The 18291-nt window shown below is 36.3% G+C and overlaps 1 annotated feature.

Annotated features, from left to right (window-relative positions):
• Positions 17031–17530: an enhancer, noted in NCBI's record as "H3K4me1 hESC enhancer chr12:38902019-38902518 (GRCh37/hg19 assembly coordinates)". NCBI's record gives its function as "activates a minimal SCP1, AML or CMV promoter by ChIP-STARR-seq in naive H9 embryonic stem cells {active_cell/tissue: H9 hESC(naive)}" and the evidence as "EXISTENCE:reporter gene assay evidence [ECO:0000049][PMID:30033119]".

An 18291-nucleotide genomic window follows, 5' to 3' on the forward strand; every position in this document is an offset into this window, starting at 1 on the left:
GACACACACAACAATTATATCTTCTCTCCCACCTCCCACATACACAATCACCATAGCTGTCATTTCTACCACCATTGAGAAAATACCTAATCCATCCAGGTCTTCTCTCTATGAATGTCTTTATTTTCCAGCTTCATTCTTTTAATAAATATTTGTTAGTAGATATGCTTTGGAGTTTTAAAGTCAAATCCATTTCAAGATATTCCACCTATAACTTTGAGCAGGAAATGCAATTATATGTTTCAGAATATTTTCTAATAGTCTTTGTGAGATTGGTTTTTTGGAAAAAGCACTGATTTTTGAATCTAGCTCTGCCAATTTTGTGATCTTAGAGAAGCAACTTAAGCTTTCTTGAACCTGTATTTTTGTATCCAAGAAATGGAAGTGATAATGCTTACTAATTTTCTCAAAGAGTTACTGTGATAAAATTAAATAACATATATGAAAGTACATGGTAAACTAAAAAGTTTTCAAAATAATAATACCATTTTTATTATTTCTATTATATGCAACTCTTTGCTTCTGACAAACCAGATCAAAGATTAAATTTACATCTGCTACCTGTGGCATTTTATACTTACAAAGTGGCACAAACATTTCCTATTTGTTTTATACTGTGTGTCTTCATGTCAGTTAACAGACAAGAGACAAAGCAGTCTGCTTTAGTCTGCTTAGATGGCTGTAACAAAATAAACTTAATTGAGTAACTTATAAACAACAGAAATTTATTTTCCACAGTTCTGGAGACTGGGAAGTCCAAGAACAAGGCACCAGTAGCTTCAGTGTCTGGTGAGGAATCACTTTCTGGTTCACAGATGGCAACTTCTCCCTGAGACCTCACACCGTGAAAGGGGTAAACAAGCCCTCCAGAATTTCTTTTATAAAGGCACTAATCTCATTCATGAGGGCTCTGCCCCATGACCTCATCACTTCCTGGAGGACCCACCTACTAACACCATCACCTTGGGGGTTAGGATTTCACCTTATAAATGTTGGGGAATACGAACATTCAGGCCAAAGCACAGTCCTTGGTCAAGTCTATGAAACAAGTAAGTGGGACATCTAGATTTAGAATACAGCTGTTCTTTAGAGCATATATAAATACAGTAATTCTATACTTTCAATGTTTAAAAATTATCATATTTTATAAATCAAAATAGACTAAAATAACACTTTTCGGATCCAGGACCCAGAAGTTTAAACATCTCATTTGATGATTATCCCTTCCTTTTATTCTTTTGTCTCTGTGTTTAACACTCTATCAAAACCCTAGTTAATTTTAATAATTAATTGGTAGACATTTGTCCCCATCTGTGCCAGTTTTATTATCTGGGAACTGAGTAATATAACACTTACTTCAGGGGTTTGCTATGAAGATTAAACAAAGTTATAGAGACAGAATCTTAGAACTCTTCCAAAAACAAGTAAGCATTGATCAGTATTACTACTTTTTCGTTAGTATCATTCTCATTCAACAAATTGATTTATCACCCACCATGTGCCAGGCACTGTTATAAGGATTTAGGCTATAAAAGTTGACATAATAAACAAGATTCCAGCTCTTACAGAGTTTATATTCTGGTTTGAGGAAGGGGAAGACAGACAATAATCAATAAGCCTAATAATTGAGAGAGAATGATTATCACTATGGGAAAAATGTAGGGAAGGGGGAGTGCATAGGCAGTGTTATGATTAGGGATGGGACAAATGTCCAAATTTAAACAGAGTAGTCAGGGTAAGTCTAATTGAAAAGATGACATTTAACACATGATTTGAAGAAATGTTTTAGCCATGCTCATATCTAGCAGAAGAATTATCCAGATAGAGGCAACAGCCAGTGCAAAAACTCTCAGGCAAGAGTCTGTCTACAGTGTGAGAGTATTAAAGATCTCAGATTGCCTGGAGCAGATGGAGTAAGAGGACAGTGATAACAGCTGAAGTCAAAGAGAGAACACCTTGTAAATCCCTGGAAAGACCTACACTTGGGGGGCAATTGGAGGATTCAAGAGATGAAGCTGCACCATCTGATTGATGTTTCAAGATCCCACTACCTGTTGCATTGAGAGTATTCTCTATGGAGGTGAGGGTGGACACAGTGAGACCAGTTAGAAAGTGATTAGAGTATCAGAGGTGAGAGATGACGGAGGCTTGGACAAGGGGATAGCAGTGGGAATGGTGGTAAAAGGTTTGTGGATATATTTTGAAGGTAGAACCAACAGGATTGCCTTATGATTTGGAGTTAGGATTTGAAAGAAGTCAGAAAACAAGTTTTACAATGCCTTACTTCAATTTCTAGCCACAAAAAGTTCCAAGAGATTTAGTTGACCTACACAGATTTTGAAGTTTGCAAAAGAAGGTAAGAATTAACAATAAAAATTAACATGGGCTTTCTTCAAACAACTTCAATATTGAAAAAAAGAATACCAAAGAAGGTTCAATTATTTTGCAAAGAGTGGAGGGGACTATTATCAAACATTTATTTTGCACCCCATGACTTATATTTATGTTATTGCCAGAGAGATAAGGATATAGTTGCAGATCGAGGAAAAAAGTGAGTTATATGGAGGTGAGACAGTAGAGTTTCTTGTTTAGTACAGACCGTGGAACCAGGCTACTTTGGGTGTGAATTCTGTTCTATTACTTACTAATAATTTAGCCCTGAACTCACAAGGTTATTGTAAGGATTAGACAAATTATTTTAAGAAAATAGTTTAGAATAATATCTAGAAATTTGTGTCATGTAAGTGTTAGGTATTATTCTCTCTGTGTGTTTTGTGTGTATGTATGCATGTGTGTTGGGGTTGTTTTATGTTGTTCTTTTATTGCTATCTTACACTTCCATTACTCAACAAGTTTGCAAAATGCTAGTTTATTAAGTTGTAAGTTGATCATTCTCTGAGGGACTGATTTATGCTCAACTCAGATGAATCTTATTCATAAACCAATATAACAACTTAGTTGTTTTCTCTGAAATTAATACTGCCAAAATTACCGAACACACATGTCAGCAAGTATAAAATTCTCTTCCAGAACATTCCTCCAACAATGGAAAAACAATATCAGAAAGCAAAAGGTGGTTGAAAACTTTAAAGAAAGTTCTTATAATGTTGTGGCAACTTGGTACATCATTGTTTCCTGTAAAAATACTTGGAAAAGAAACAGGAATCCTAATATCAGTTAGTTAGCAAAAATATTTTCTGGATAGTAATGGGGCCTACATAATTACCATTTTTTGATAGATCCCCATTTTTAATAGTGCTAGTATATGACAATCTGTATCTCTTCTTTGATTACAAAATCTCCTCCATTATTTTAATATGACTCCAGTGCGTGTGGTCATTTTCAGGATTTCAACCTATTTTGCATTAATTGTACTCATTACATGCGAATTGATAGTTTCCTGGTTGCCTAGTAATATTGAGGAGTACACACCCACCTCATTAATAATATACACATAAGTCATGTTTCAAAGTGTATTATTTTTTGAAAGATATATGTAATCAACTAATTTAATGTGTGAATAAATTCTAGTTAGCTCCATCATATGAAGTTGTTTTTCCCAATTGTGAGTATCTAACTCCTATAACATAGTACTGTATTCTGATACTCACTGTTTACTTTTAGTAATTATGAAAGAAAGAAGGGGAAAGAAAACAAACAGTGTTGTCTAGGGATGGAATGTGGTTCTCCTTGAGATCTCCTAGTGAGAGAGGATTAAAAAACTATTGCTACTTGGGCAAAGTTTTGCAGTATCAAACCCATCATATTCACCATGGGAGCCATATTCCAAAGGTCTGTGATCTCAAGATGACAGCTCAGAGCCCCAAAGTGATAAAAAAAAATGCAGAGTTAGCTTCTTTTAATCATTAATCTTTTTTGTGTCATTTGATTTTTCTCCTCATTTGTTTTAAACCCACCCAGACATTTTTGTTTTTCTTTTGAGTGCTCCCAGGCATTTGTTTTACCCAATGCAATTAAAAATTCATTATGTGATCCACAGGGTTCATCTGAATTTGGCACTGCTTTGGAAGTTTCAGTTATTTGTCTGGGCCAAGAGGAATTCTTTGAGAAGATAAAATATGGGATTTTAGCAATAATGATGTTGCTTTGGCTTATGCAAGTACTTAATTAGTGCTGCAGGAAAACACATCATTAACTTTCAATAATATTTTCTGGAACAGAAAATATAAAAGGCAAAGTTTATGTTATTTAGGATACATTTACAACAAGGATGTGCACATATACACAGTAACAAAATCAAAAGGAGCATTATACTATAAAAGAAAAAATGACTACTCCAAAGTGAAATTGATCACATTTATTAGATTATATTATTAGAAGAATTGGAAATAATGTTGATTGGATCTAATGTTCTGATTCCACAAATTACTCTTACATGTGATGTTCGTTTTAAAGCCACTGCATGCATATCTTATCAAATGCTGGGAAAATAAAACAATATTGCCAAGAAAAAAAAATTATTTTGTACCAATACAGAAGAAAGAACACAATTTATTATTGAGAAGCATTGTCAGATTTATATGGATGTAAGGTAGCATGAAAGTGACTACAAACTCTGGATAGAATTTCACACAAATTTACTGAGTAAAGTAGAAGAAAAACACAATGAAAATGTCTTGTATCTTCTTGAAAGATAAATACATGCACCTGGTGATTGTCCTCTGTAAAGTCCATAATGAAATCATGAATTGATTTGGAAGTATATTTGCAGTTCCAAAGAACAGAAAGGCCCAAGACTTTGCACTTTAAAATAAAAAGTTCAGGCCTCATATTAAGCCTATTATGTTTATAAACAGACACTCTAAGGACAGAATGGGGAGGTAGCTGCCTCCCTTGTTTTTATGAAACAAAGATAACTTAATTTCATCATTTCACCCTTACACAACTGAGAAGAGCAATTTGGATGATATTTATTAAGAAATAGAGAGCCAAATAGACTGTATGTATATGCATATATTATGTGTGTGTGTGTAAGTTTCTTTCTTGCTTTCTTTGTAAATTACTGACTTTACTGGATCATGAATGGTAGCTATAATTAATTTTACAGAATTTTAATATGGGTAGTCAATATATAATTAAAATCACTTTCCATATATTTGAAAGTCGTTTGTGTGGTTATATCAACTATACCATCTGCTGATTAAATTAGCTCAAATAAAAATATATATATATATATGTGAAACCACTTAATTGTGACAGAAAAAGTTTAAAAGATTCAAAACAAGGTTCTTATTAACTAAAAATAACCAACTGCAAATTTTAAATAAAATTGTAAAATATGTCATTCCAAATAACAAAACAACTCAGCAAATACATACCGAAACATATACAACTGATATAAAGAAAATTATTAAAATGTATTAAGGGATATACATATGTCTATCAGTGGAGAAATATAACTTATTCTTGGCAAGAAAGATGCAACACTATAAATATATGATGTTTATAATAAACACTATTAAAAAATAAAATATAATACTATTAAAAAATAAAATATTATAAAGTCATAAATATATGACTATTAATCTCTAAGTACGATAAAAATTCAGTGAAAAAGATACAATTTTTTCTGACAAAACAAAGTGTTTCTAAAGTTCAGCCAAAAGTATACATTTTTGAGAAATCAGGAAATTCTGAAAAACTGAAAAACTTTTAGTCGTCTCTTTCTCATTTGTAAAATATACTGTGTAAAATTTTAGTAATTATTAATGTTGTACTGTAATAGACATATATGGGATAAAAGAGATTTCAATATAACAGATTTTAAATTTAAAAAAGAATATAGATTTAAATGTGAATATTAAAACCAAAATTATAGGAAAAAATATGAGGGTTTTTTGATAATTTATTTTATTTTATAATTTCAACTTTTATTTTAGATTTGGGGGTAGGATTTCATGTGCAGGTTACTTGAGTACATTGCATTATGATGAGGTCTAGCGTACAGCTGATCTTTTCACTCAGGTACTGAGTATAGTTCCTGGTAGTGTTTCAACCTTGCCTTCCTTCACTCCTCAATAGCCCCCAATGTCTATTGTTGCCATCATCATGTCTACAATTACCCAATGTTTACTCCCACTTATAAGTGATAACGTGTTATTTTGTTTTCTGTTCCTGTGTTAATTCACTTAGAACAATGGGCTCCAACTGCATCCATGTTGCTGCAAAACACATGATTTTGTTCTATTTTATGGCTGCATAGTATTCCATGGTGTATATGTACTAAATTTTCTTTACTCAGCCTGCTACCATTAAGTACATAGGTTCATTCCACATTGTTGCTATTGTGAATTGTGGTACAATAAATATATGAGTGCTTGTGTTTTTTTGGTAAAACAATTTATTTTCTTTTGGAAATATACCTAATAACAGGATTCCTGGGTCAAATGGTAGTTCCATCTTATCTTTGAAAAATCTCCAAACTGCTTTCTGTACTGGCTAAAATCTCCAAACTGCTTTCCACACTGTCTGAACTAACATTCCCAACCAACAGTGTATAAGTGTTCCCTTTTCTCCACAGCCTTTCCAGCATCTGTTGTTTTTTGACTTTATTGTAATAACCATTCTGACTGGTGTGAGATAGTATCTCATTGTAGTTTTGATTTGCATTTCTCTGATGATTAGTCATGTGGAACTTTTTTTTTATGTGTTTCTTTGCCACTGTGTGTCTTCTTTTGAGAAGTGCCTGTTCATGTATTTTGCCCATTTTTAACGGGGTTGTTTTTTGCTTGCTGAATTGTTTAAATTTCTTATGGATTCTGGATATTAGACATTTGTCAGACATGTGGTTTATGAGTATTTTCTCCTATTCTATAGGTTGTTTGTTCACTCTGTTGATAGTTTCGTTTGCTATGCAGAACTTTAATTAGATCCCACTTGCCAATTTTTGTTTTTGTTGCAGTTACCTTTCAGAACTTGGTCATAAATCTTTCCCCAAGATATGGTAAGTTTTAAAGTGGAATTTAGATGAGGAAAGGCTTTTTAATATATAACTAAATGTAGAGAGCAAAGGAACTTTGGTAGACTTAATTATAAAAATAAGTAAATAACAATTAAATTTCTCTATGGCAAAATGTATGACTAACAAAATTGTAATACAAATACTAAATTTGGAAAATAATATTTGCTACACATTTGACGGACAATAAACTGATAATTCTAGTATAGTATGCAAATAACTCTAAAATTAAAAGCACAAAACATTCAGGCAATTTACAAAAAAATCAATTTTAATATAATATTTAAAAATTCAACTTGGCTAATTAATAGAGAAAATGAAATAAATACAAAATTGATTACATACTTTCTATCTATCAGATGGACCCACCTCCCCCTAAAGAACAAAAAGATATAGAAAAGCACAAAATTGTGAATGTATCCTATCTTGTTGGTAAGAATGTAAATTAATGCACACCTTTTAAAAACTCATTTGACAATGTACACCAAAATTTAAATATATATTCACCATGACTCAGGAAATAATTCCAAGGAGATAATTGCCAAGTGGTTAAATATGTTTACTATATGAATGTTTATTGTTACATTGTTTTAACAGTGAACTATTGCAAACAAGCTTAATGTCCAAAACAGGGTCTGCTTAAATAAACAGCTGTAATATTCTGTATTTTAATTTATTTGAGTAAAGATATTTATCCTGGAATTCTTTAAAGTCTATTAAAATAATAAGGTATAGCTATACTGGTAGTGACACAGAATTAATTTTCTGACACATTATTTAGTGAAAAAGAGCAGATAACAAAATAATATTTACAAAATAACCTCATTGATATAAAATTCATCTGTGTATTTGTGTGTGTGTGTGTCTGTGTGTGTCTGTGTAAATATATCCAAAGGGAGCCATTTGGAAAGATGAAAGATTTGAAGGTTTTCTCATCTAGTTTTTCTACATTCCAATGAGTATTCTTTTAAAAAATTATAATTGTGATGGATCACATAAACAGAACCAATGACAAAGAACACATGATTATCTCAATAGATGTAGAAAAGGCATTCAGCGAAATTCAACAGCCCTTTATGCTAAAAACTTTCAATACACTAGGTATCGATGGAATGAATCTCAAAACAATAAGAGCTGTTTATGACAAACCCACAGCCAATATCATACTGAATAGGCAAAAACTGGAAGCATTCGCTGGGAAAACTGGCACAAGACAAGGATGCCTTCTCTCACCACTCCATTCAACATAGTATTGCAAGTTCTGGCCAGGGCAATCAGGCAAGTGAAAGGAATAAAGGGTATTCAATTAGGAAAAGAGGAAGTCAAATGGTCTCTGTTTGCAGATGACATAATTGTATATTTAGAAAACCCCATTGTCTCAGCCCAAAATCTCTTTAAGGTGATAAGCAACTTCAGCAAAGTCTCAGGATACAAAATCAGTGTGCAAAAACAACAGTCATTCCTATACTCCATAAAAGAGAAGCAGAGAGCCAAATCATGAGTGAACTCATATTCACAATTGCTACTAAGAAAATAAAATACCTAGGAATACAACCTACAAGGGATGTGAAGGACCTCTTCAAGGAGAACTGCAAACCACTGCTCAAGGAAATAAGAGAGGACACAAACAAATGGAAAAACATTCCAAGCTCATGGACAGGAAGAATCAATATTGTGAAAATGGCAATACTGTCCAAAGTAATTTATAGATTCAATGCTATCCCCATTAACCTACCATTGACTTTCTTCATAGAATTGGAAAAAAAACTTTAAAATTCATATGGAGCCAAAAAAGAGCCCACATAGCCAAGTCAATCCTAAGCAAAAAGGACAAAGATGGAGGCATCACACTACCTGACTTCAAACTATACCATAAGGCTACAGTAACAAAAACAGCATGGTACGGGTACCAAAACTGATATATAGACCAATGGAACAGAACAGAGGCCTCAGAAATAATGCCACACATCTACAGCCATCTGGTCTTTGACAAACCTGACAAAAACAAGCAATGGGGAAAGGATTCCCTGTTTAATAAATACTGTTGGGAAAACTGGCTAGCCACATGCAGAAAGCTGAAACTGGATCCCTTCCTTACACCTTACACAAAAATTAACTCAATATGGATTAAAGACTTAAATGTAGGACCTAAAAACGTAAAAACCCTAGAGGAAAACCTCGGCAATACCATTCAGGACATAGGCATGGGCAAAGACTTCATGACTAAAACCCCAAAAGCAATGGCAACAAAAGCCAAAATAGACAAATGGGATCTAATTAAATTAAAGAGCTTCTGCACAGCAAAAGAAACTATCATCAGAGTGAGCAGCCAACCACAGAATGGGAGAAAAATTTTGCAATCTATCCATCTGACAAAGAGCTAATATCCAGAATCTACAAAGAACTTTAACAAATTTACAAGAAAAAAATAAACTGCCCCATCAAAAAGTGAGAGAAGGATATGAACAGACACTTCTCAAAAGAAGACATTTATGCGGCCAACAAACATATGAACAAAAGCTCATCATCACTGATCATTAGAGAAATGCAAATCAAAACCACAATGAGATACCATCTCACACCAGTTAGAATGGTGATTATTAAAAAGTCAGGGAACAACAGATGCTAGAGAGGATGTGGAGAAGTAGGAATGCTTTTACACTGTTGGTTGGAGTGTAAATTAGTTCAACTATTGTGGAAGACAGTGTGGCGATTCCTCAAGGTTCTAGAACTAGAAATATCATTTGACCCAGCAATCCCATTACTGGGTATCTACCCAAAGGATTGTAAATCATTCTACTATAAAGACACATGCACACGTATGTTTATTGTGGCACTGTTCACAACAGCAAAGACTTGGAACCAACCCAAATGCCCATCAATGATAGACTGGAAAAGAAAATGCGGTACATATACACCATGGAATACTATGCAGCCATAAAAAAGGATGAGTTCATGTCCTTTGCTGGGACATGGATAATGCTGGAAACCATCATTCTCAACAAACTGTCACAAGAACAGAGAACCAAACACTGCATGTTCTCACTCATAAGTGGGAGTTGAACAATGAGAACACATGGACACAGGGAGGGGAACATCACACAGTGGGGCCTGTCAGTGGGTGGAGGCTAGGGGAGGGATAGCATTAGGAGAAATACCTAGTGTAGATCACGGGTTGGTGGGTGCAGCAAACCACCATGGCACATGTATACCTATGTAACAAACCTGCACGTTCTGCACATGTACCTTAGAACTTAAAGTATAATAAAAAAAGAAAAAATTATAAGTAGAAATAAGGATGCTTTAATTTTAAAAAATCATTAATGAATTTAAAAATATATGCACATTTGTACCAGTATTGTTCAGAGAATGAAGAGTAGCTATTTTTTACACTGCTTGTGGGAGTATGAACTGTTTTGCAGTTGCTGAGGCAATATGACAATATACAACAAAAGTATTAGAACATGCAAATTCTTTCCCCACCGCTTTCAAACCTAGAAATTTCTTTTGCAAGAAATGTGAAGAAGGCGTCGTCCCTATTGTGAATGAGTTCTGTGAAGTAGAGAGGCTGGAGCAGTCACAGCCAGAGGGCCACAAGTGTGCTTGGTTTCACTCAAAAAAAAGTTTTTGTTTTATTCTAAATTTAAGCCAACGTTTAAAATTTGAATGTTTCACAGAAATTATGGGTTCCTAGTTTCTCTTAAAATTTCAGAAGATCTGGCACACTGGGGACAAATACACCCTTGACCATGAACAGCTGGAACTAAGTATTGGCTGTCACTTTGAGACAGGCTTTGTGCTAGCAGGTCCCACCATTTCTATACTTATCTCATTTATTTTTACCAATTTGACCTTTACATTTGCAATTCCTGGGTTAAGGTATTTGCTAATCAACTAAAGAGAGACAATTCAATCTCAGGAACTTCCCCTGCATGTCTGAGATACTCAGTACTTTTGTCTAGAAGGAGTCTATTTTTTCATTTATTATTCTTTCTTGATCCCAGATCATGAGTCACTGACTTCTCCAGTGGTTTTATTATCTTATATTGTGTAAACCAAACAGATTTACTCTTTGGTTTGGGGCCTGGAAATCTGAAGAGGATAGTGCATGGGCTTAACTGTTTAGTGGAATTTTCAATTCATCAAATGTTTTGCCTTTATATGTAGTAAAGTTTCTGGCTTTCCCCATTAGATACTTTTCTAATTACTTCATTCCAATTCATTATAGATTTGCTTTGGATGGAGACCAGGTCTATTAACTCTCAATTTCATCAAGAGTCCCCGCAAAATTTTCAGTCTGCCAGTGCTTGTCCTTAAGCTATGCATTTCTGTAAGGGACATTTTTTTCCAAATAGCAACATGGCCCGATTTATATTGGAAATCTTTCAAATTGCATTAAACCGCTCTTGATTGAATTAGCAGTTTCCAAGCTTCTTTCTTACAGCTGTCATGGAGTAGAACTGCACAATCTGTTCAGCTGGTTCCAGGGCGGGTGTTTTGTCTTGACAAAAGGTTTTTTCTTTAAACCAGCCTGTCTGGAGATTGTATGTCTTCTTAGGAGAATTATGAGAGGAAATCAAGGAGAAACTTTTTTTTTTTTTGGCACCAGCAACTGCAACTTTACTTTTAGCTTATCAGTTAGCCTAAATCCTCTGTGCTACCTGCTTAGCAGTTTAGCAAAACTAAAAATATGGTTCCTGAACCACATGGTACAAGGGGGGAACAAAACCTGAGCTCTGGAAAGCCAGATGCTTTTGAAAGAAGTTGAAACATATAAATAATAGAAATGGTTAATATAATATTTAACCATCTTTGTTGTGACTTGGTATTTAAGCCTTCCAATTTGCTGATGCTCATAAAAATGTTTTGGAGAAACTCTTATGGTAAAGGCCTGGACTGTATTGCTGGAGGGAAATTAGGAGGGTGGGAGAGAAATATCTTATTCTGTACACAAGGAAACTTACATCAGAAGAATTTAAGGGACCCTAACAGACCCGGGGTTGATTAATGGTAGAGCCAGGGTAAGAATACTAATCCTGGATGGGCGTGGTGGCTCATGCTTGAAATCCCAGAACTTTGGGAGGACGAGGCAGGTGGATTGCCTGAGTTCAGGAGTTCGAGACCAGCCTGGCCAGCATGATGAAACACTGTCTCTACTAAAAATACACAAAATTAGCCAGATGCAGTGGCAGCCACCTGTAATCCCAGCTACTTAGGAGGCTGAGACAGGAGAATTGCTTGAACCTGGGAGAAGGAGGTTGTAGTGAGCCGAGATGGTGCCACTGCACTCCAGCCTGGGCAACAAGAGCTAAACTCCATCTAAAAAAAAAAAAAAAATTAATCCTCTCCTATGCATTCAGGTCATCATAAACATGATGCATCATTTAAACTGTAAAACTCCTGTCTTCTAGAAGCTTAAGATCAAGACAGGACCATGGGACTGCACCACTGTGTATACACACACACACGTACACACACACACACACACAAAATAAAACAAACATCACTTGAAGACAACAAAACTCTTCCAGATTAGGAAACCCTAGAGGAAATGTGTGAATCAACAAACCCTAATATGTTCATCTGAACCACCTGTAGGAAAAGAACAATAGGACATTCAAAAGTAAGTGAAAAGTCAACAATTTTTGAAAGGAGTTTACGGGCAATAAAATAATCATTAATTGTGAGAAAAGATAAGCAAAACAATACCTTTAGCATGTGACATGTGGCAGTTTCTGCTTGGTGAGACGTGGATGAGTTTGAACATGAAACATTCTCATATGTCAGTCTCTGTGGCTGACAGGGCCTTGGGAGAAACTAACACTGAATGGAAGATATAGGACTGATCTGTAGAAAAGAACCCTACTCAGAGGTGAGATGCAGAGAAGGTAACTGGGTAATACAAAAATCCTCAAGTAAGGTGGTGAGGTTTTTGCTATCATCAATACAAAGATGTCCAATCTGGTGAACAGAAACAAGAGAGACATCCCAGGTGCAAACTCTCTTTGTGAGTCACGAGGGCAGGTAATTATGTTAGAAAATACCCAGAAAATTGCAGGCTCTTCCATTCATGTGGGTGATATGGGACAGGGTCCAACTCTGGGGAAGCAAGACTGGCAGAAGCCAAATAGTACAGAGATCTCTCTGGTCCTAGAAAGGGTCTAGGGTCCTGGGAGAGGAATTAGATCAACCAATTGTGGACATACTGTTGACCATTTGGATAGTGTTGGAAAATGGAACAGTTCTAAGGAATTGACAGACCAACAATTGAGTAATGACTTACTATACAATGAACAGATTTTATGACCTTTAAATGTGCTGATAAAGTCTAGTTCATGTGATACTTACAAATATTAAATGAGATATTAAAGATAAGATGCCTCATGTAGTCCCTGGCACACACAGAACTTCAGTAAGTGTTGTGTACTATGTAATTAGGGCACATATTGGTTTTCATTGGCCCCAAATTTTTATCAATGTTTGCACATTTATTTAAAATATGTTGTTCTGCAACATATCTCCATGTTGTAATTATTTAGGTAAACACATAGTGAGGGGTTTCAGTTCATTGAGATACAGAAAGGAAATAATTTTATATATTTTAACAACCATGCAAAAATTCTTCTTACTGTCTGAGTATTCTCTCAATTAACTACTGAAAGAGTTAGATATGCTTGTCCTAAGGAAGCAGGTCTGGAGGTTGGAAGGGAGACTGGGAGTTAGGAAACATCCCTTCGACAGTACCTTTGGGAAATTAATGCTTTTCTCTACAAACCTTTACTAAAAAAGTTTGAAGGGTGACCCATGTGCACATATTACTGTGTTTAAAATGTTAAAAGATGGCATGGTAGAGGCTTAGTCACCCTACTCCTGGTATGGCTAAGAGCAGAGGATATTAACAACATTCAACAAAATTTATGGTACTACTAATATATAATGCAATAGAAAACAAATATATTCCAATTTATTTTCTAAATAAGCTAAATTCTGCATTATAAACTCTATATAAATTATATATAATATATGATTTTATACAGTTCAACCAAAACTAAAACTATTGAGATAGAAGTAATTTGATAAAGGTTTATTTGAACCCAAATGCGAGTATCAACCCAGGAAGACACCAACAAAATTGGGAGTTCCAGAGTCTGCTACAAATTGGAAGACTTTTAGAGGAAAGTTTAGAAGGGAAGAGGACTCATGATACTGGAGCTGTCCTTTTCATTGGAGGGTACTATATTGAAGTTACAATCATCAGCTACATCTTGTAACATGTATTAATAGATGAAAATAGATAAGCTAAAATGTTTACCTGCAAATTAATCAGGAAAGCTTCATGATTCATAAACAAATCAGTGTCCTTTTCAATGTCAGCAGGTCATGCATTAATCAGTATGTCAACAATATGGGGAACTCACAATAAGATTCTTTATTCAGAGATGGGATGTTTCCATGAATCACAAGACATCTCCAAAGTGGGTTAATTTGAAAGCCTGTCAAATGTGACCTGTAGGTTATCACACACACACACACACACACACACACCACACAACACACACACACACACAGACACACTTGCTTGCCAATTGGAAGTATTTCCATGTTTTAACATTCCAGTAGCCCATTTTATGAGAACTGCATGATCTGGTCTTCATTTAGTTTTTTGGCCTGTTTTCTTGCTAACTCTCTCCTACCCTCTGCTTTCCAGCTTCATTAAATGGCTTCTGTTTCCCTCAATGTGCCATGCTGTTTCATACCTCCCTGCTTTTCTCACACCACTTCCTTTGCCCAGGATAGATTCAGCCTGTGTTTTCTGCCTGGGAAATGTCTCATCGTTGCTCAAAAGCTACCTCATGCCATTTTCTCAATGAATACTTTCCTGGCTCTCCAACACTGGGATCCTGGTTTATTCTTACTTCTTTCACATTGATAAGCGAGTTTGTAACTCCTGGAATCATATTCATAAAGCTAGGATCCATTCATTCAAGCAGTTGGACACCGGTAGTATCGTTAGGGTCTCCTGGCTTGTGCCGTGGCAGGGGTGACCATATCAAACGCAGAAAAATTTCTTGCTCCTGGTGTACTTTGAGTGTAATAAATCCCCAGTGAAATATTTGGACAGGAACCTGCACTGCTTTCTAACAAAATGCAGCTGAATATCTATCTGATACTAAGTCAATAGCAGCCAACACAACTTTCCTCTCTCTCTCTCTATTGAAAGGATGAACAAACACTGTAGCTAAAGAAAATATCTAAAAGAGCAGGTAAAACATGAGATGTGTGATACCACTCTGGAAACCCAGAGAGCTTCCTTTTTGCAGGAGAAAGCAAAAGGAAATATTATGGAATAGTACTAGTTTTCTGAACAAGATTCAAGCACCTTTGAAACTAGAATCAAGATTTGTAAAGAAAGCAACTTAAAACCAAAAAGTAAGTCCTACAAGATTTGTGAAATGATGATAATGCCTCTGGTAGCTAATAATTTACTAATTATACTACCAACATTTCTCCATGATGATTTTTATAACACTTCTCTCCCAAGACTTCTTTCTATTAAACAACAAAATAAATACATTCAACAGCTCTATAATTACAAACAACACTAAATATTTGTTTGGAATTGCACATTAACAACCCCAGATTTGTATTCATAATAAAATGGAGAGCATGCCAGAGGGGATCCTATATGGAGTTGTGTTTCCCACATGCTAATTACCTGTGGTTGATGATAACTACCAAACAAGTTAGGCTTCCTTAGATCCACTCACAATAGGACTGCCCCCAGTCCCTGCCCCTTGTCTTTCACATGGTGCAGATGGAATGCTCAGGGCAAGGTCTGGAAGCACAGTGATGGAAAGAAGCTGAGGCTGGAGAGGCTATTGTGGAAAAGCACTCAAACTTTTATATATTCTTAAGTCACAAATATAAGAGAAAAAAGAGTGAATACATTTGTTTCATTATATCTTCAAGGCAATATCACTTATTATTGTATAATTTTCAGTACATTCTTCAGAATAATTTTACGTTTTTCAGGATAAGAAGTTTCACTGTTTCCCTGAAAATTTTTGCTTGTTATCTTCAGACCAAATACACCCTGTTCAGTTTTCTTTTTATGCTCCTAATTAAGAGTAAAGAATCCCTGTAAGAGTCTATCTAATTATTTTTATTATCTCTGGCCTGGGTATGAATAGGTGAAGCACCTTGCTATCTTCCCTTTCCAAGAATCTATTCTCGGCATTTGTATTTCTATAATACATGGCCCAAAGGAACAGCAGCTCATTTCCACTCTTGTTGGGGTTAATTTTGTGAAATTCATTTTTCTGAAATGATCCTCTGAAAAAGGAGGAGTTTATGGATATCTAATGTTGAAATGGAAAAATTCAAAATGCGTATTGAAAAGCATTTTAATGACCACTTCTTCTGAGACACATTACCAGCATGGGAAGGAATAGTTACTTTCTGCCTCAGAGATCTCTTTCTCAGATGTTTCCTTTTCAGACATCTCAGATGTCTCCACATCTTAAGTGTCACATATAGGCAGAGTAGGTGTAATATCATATGGGATGATTTCAGGAACCTGAGAAAACCTCATACTTGCTTAGATCTTGCCTCATCAGTTGTTATTATCTCTTTAGTTCTACAATAAGCAAAATACTTTAAATTGTAACTAATCTGACAGAAGTGGACAAGTTAATATGCAAAAGTAGAAAGGATTTCCCGCAAGATGGCCAAATAAGAACAGCTCTGGTCTGCAGCTCCCAGCGAGACTGACACAGAAGACAGGTGATTTCTGCATTTCCAAATGAGGTACCTGATTCATCTCATTGGGACTGGTTGGACAGTTGGTGCACCCCACAGAGGGTGAGCCAAAGGAGGGCGGGGCATTGCCTCACCCAGGAAGGGCAAGGGGTCGGGGGATTTCCCTTTCTTAGCCAAGGGAAGCCTTGAGAGACTTTACCAAGTGGAACAGTACGCTCCTGCCCAAATACTGTGCTTTTCCCATGGTCTTCACAACTGGCAGAACAGGAGATTCTCTCTGGTGCCTGGCTCGGTGGGTCCCGCACCCACAGAGCCCAGCAAGCTAAGATCCATTGGCTTGAAATTCCTGCTGCTAGTGCAGCAGTCTGAGATCAACCTGGGGTGCTGGAACTTGTCAGGGGGAGGGGCGTCCACCATTGCTGAGGCTTGAGTAGGCAGTTTTACGCTCACAGTGTAAACAAAGCTGCTGGGAAGAACGAATTGGGTGGAGCCCACCACAGCTCAGCAAGGCTGACTGCCTCTCTGGATTCCACCTCTATGGGCAGGGCATATCTGAACAAAAGGCAGCAGCCCCAGTCAGGGACTTGTAGGTAAAACCCTCATCTCCCTGGGATAGGGCACCTGGGGTAAGGGCAGCTGTGGGCACAGCTTCTGCAGACTTAAACGTCCTTGCCTGACAGCTCTGAAGAGAGCAATGGTTCACCCAGCATGAAGTTCGAGCTCTGATAACAGACAGACTTCCTCCTCAAGTGGGTCCCTGACCCCCATGTAGCCTGACTGGGAGACACCTCCCAGTAGGGGCCAACAGACACCTCATGCAGGAGAGCTCTGGCTGGCATCTGGCAGGTGCCCCTCTGGGACAAAGGTTCCAGAGGAAGGATCAGGCACAATATTTGCTGTTCTGCAGCCTCTGCTGGTGATACCCAGGCAAACAGGGTCTGGAGTGGACCTCCAGCAAACTCCAACAGACCTGCAGCTGAGGATCCTGATTGTTAGAAGGAAAACTAACAAACAGAAAGGAATAGCATCAACATCAACAAAAAAGACATCCACACCAAAACCTCATCGTTAGGTCACCAACAACAAAGACCAAAGGTAGATAAACCACAAAGGTGGGGAGAAACCAGCACAGAAAGGATGAAAATGCCAAAAACCAGAAAGCCTCTTCTCCTCCAAAGGATCACAACTCCTTGCCAGCAAGGGAACAAAACTGGATGGAGAATGAGTTTGACAAGTTGACAGAAGTAGGCTTCAGAAGGTGGGTTATAACAAACTTCTCTGAGCTGAAGGAGCATGTTCTAACCCCTTGCAAGGAAGCTAAAAACATTAAAAAAAAAAAGGTTAGACGAATGGCTAACTAGAATAGTCAGTGTAAAGAAGAAAGTAAATGACCTGATGGAGCTGAAAAACACAGCATGAGAACTTTGTGAAGCATACACAAGCTTCAATAGCTGAATAGATCAAGCAGAACAAAGGATATCAGTGAATGAAGATCAAATTAATGAAATAAAGAGAGAAGACAAGATTAGAGAAAAAAGAGTGAAAAGAAACAA

This window comes from Homo sapiens, chromosome 12 (genome assembly GCF_000001405.40).
Source record: "Homo sapiens chromosome 12, GRCh38.p14 Primary Assembly".
NCBI lineage: Eukaryota > Metazoa > Chordata > Mammalia > Primates > Hominidae > Homo > Homo sapiens.